Below are 2,346 nucleotides of genomic sequence, written 5' to 3' on the forward strand. Positions count from 1 at the left end.
AACCCAAAGTGAGGACCTGCCTACTAACAAAAGGGGAGGGGCACGATATTCTTCAACAGTTTCAACGTTGTAAAAGAAAAAGGCTGAGGAAATGTTCTAGATAAAAGGAGACTGAAGATGCGTGACAACTAAATGCAGTATCTGACTCTAGGCTGGATCCTGTCCTGGAGGGAACAGAAGTTATAAAGGACGTTATCGGGCAACTGCAAAATGGAATACAGATGTGGATCAGATACTGTGCTGTATCAACGTGAAAGTGACTCAAGTGGAGAACTCCACTGTGGTTATGGAAAAAGATTTTCCTATTGTTGCATAATACACACTGGAGTATGTAAGGGTAAAATTATACTCTGCAAAATTAATCTACTTTTTGTTTCCATATATATATGTATGTACATCCTTATTTGCTTCATTATTAATACACTTTTGGTCTTCTTCCATATAGATATGAATATCTCATATATATTTCATATTCATACATTTGTATATTCTTATTTTCTTCATTATTAGGCAATCTATTTCCAGTTTATAAAACCTGAGTTAAGTAAATATTTGCCTTTTGAGGAATATAGAAAATATTTCCAGGAATATAAGAAGGATTGTGAGAAAAATAACATTTCTTTTTTAAAAAAGTGCCGCTGCTAAAACTGTACATTTTTTTGACAAAATAAGAGTTTTAAGATATATGTGTATCAAGCTCCCTTCTTCCATTCTCTTTTTTGTATCCTGACATGGAGAAAAATGAGCTGTAACTGGCAAATATCCCAGCGATGGCGCCTACGGGTTTCTGCTCCGTCGAGGTTCCTGGGTCCCAGAGCCCGTGGGTAGGTGGAGGGAAGGCAGCGAGTGAAGCAGATGTTATTTTCAAACCCAGAATGCCAGACCACTGACAATAAACACAGACTCCTCTCTGCCCCTCTTTTCAACCTTCCTGTCTCCCAAGCCTTTGCCAAGGGTTTCTTTATTCTTACCCCTGGCTTTCTCTGTTCCCTAGCATTCTGGTGACTTCATCCGGTGTGTGTAACACAGGCCTTCCATGGTCATGCGAACACAATGAAATGATGTCATTCCCCGGCATCCCTGGCCCAGCGCCCACGGTTTCCGACGATGCTCCAGCCATTCCTGACTGCACAGGATGGGGTAGGCCTTGGCCTCTCGCTGAATGGTTTAATTGAAAGACAGTGGATGCCAACGCATCAGAAGCTTCTTTCCTTTTTGTTCATCCCAATGAAATCTCCCAATTATCTGCAAAAGGAATGTTGAGAGGTTTTGTCGGGGTATGGCCCTGGAGAGGGAACAAGATGACTAGTAGGTTAAAAAGGAGACAGATGAAACTTTTGTGTCTAGAATGAAAAAATTCTGAGCACATTCACAGATGGCTTGTGTATCAAGGAAGTCCCAGTGGCTAGTTACAGCAACTCATGCACTAATGTGAACAGAGCTTTTGATTTCATGGTTTAAAATAAAATGACCCAAATATAATTACTAAAGCTTATTAATGTGTTTGTTCTGGGTCAGTAACCCTTTACTGGCCGCAGGAGCTTTTTACATAAGGGGCATGAGAATTAGAGCTTTCTATTTGGAATACTTTGATTCTTCCATGGAAGCAGGAAGAAATAATCAACAAACTGCTTGTTTTAATAATTGTACCCTATTATGAACCACTTGATATTTAATTTTTAAAGAATTAGCTTAATTTTGCAGAAGAAGTAGTGTCAAAGCAATACCGCACAACTTATCAGCACTCAATACCGGTCAGTTGATATTTTAAAAAGTGGCACCGTAGGGCTAACCTGGTTGTAGTAGAAAGACGAGCAGTTGCAGAAAGAGCTTCTCCTTTGTTGGCAAAAGTACAAAAGACAAAAATAAAAAGCAAGTGTGAAAAGTTGGAAAGAAACATGCCTACGATTTTATTCTTGTACAGAGAAAACAGTTTTTCTTTAATACCTTTCTTTAGAAATTTGTATGAATTTTTAAAATATTTTGAGAACTCAGGTACTAAAAGTAAGGTTTCTTTTCATAGAATAAAATTGTAATGTAAGAAGTTTAGAGAATTTGAAGCATTGAGGAAGTGTGTTTTTTTAATGTAAGATCCTGAAAGCCCATGTCCTACATTAAAAACCTATGCGTTAGTTATTAATAGACTTTAATTTCTTTTTCTTGCTGCCTTTTTCAGGTGTACCCATTACAATATACAAATGGAGAGGGACTCGCTATTGAATTTAGACCTGTAACTGTTGCAGATGAGGTTGTAAAATGCCACGTCCATTGTCATTTTCCTCTTCCAATTCCTATCGTACAATTTGAAATCAATTCTTTGAGACCATGTTTACTTAAAGGCCTATT

General features: G+C 37.9%; 1 annotated feature.

Moving 5' to 3' along the window:
• Positions 411–1,610: an enhancer, noted in NCBI's record as "CDK7 strongly-dependent group 2 enhancer chr6:164489884-164491083 (GRCh37/hg19 assembly coordinates)". NCBI's record gives its function as "activates an origin of replication core promoter dependent on BRD2, BRD4, P300/CBP, MED14 and CDK7 cofactors, with strong dependence on CDK7, by STARR-seq in HCT116 cells {active_cell/tissue: HCT116}" and the evidence as "EXISTENCE:reporter gene assay evidence [ECO:0000049][PMID:35650434]".

Source organism: Homo sapiens, chromosome 6 (genome assembly GCF_000001405.40).
Source record: "Homo sapiens chromosome 6, GRCh38.p14 Primary Assembly".
Taxonomy (NCBI): Eukaryota; Metazoa; Chordata; class Mammalia; order Primates; family Hominidae; genus Homo; species Homo sapiens.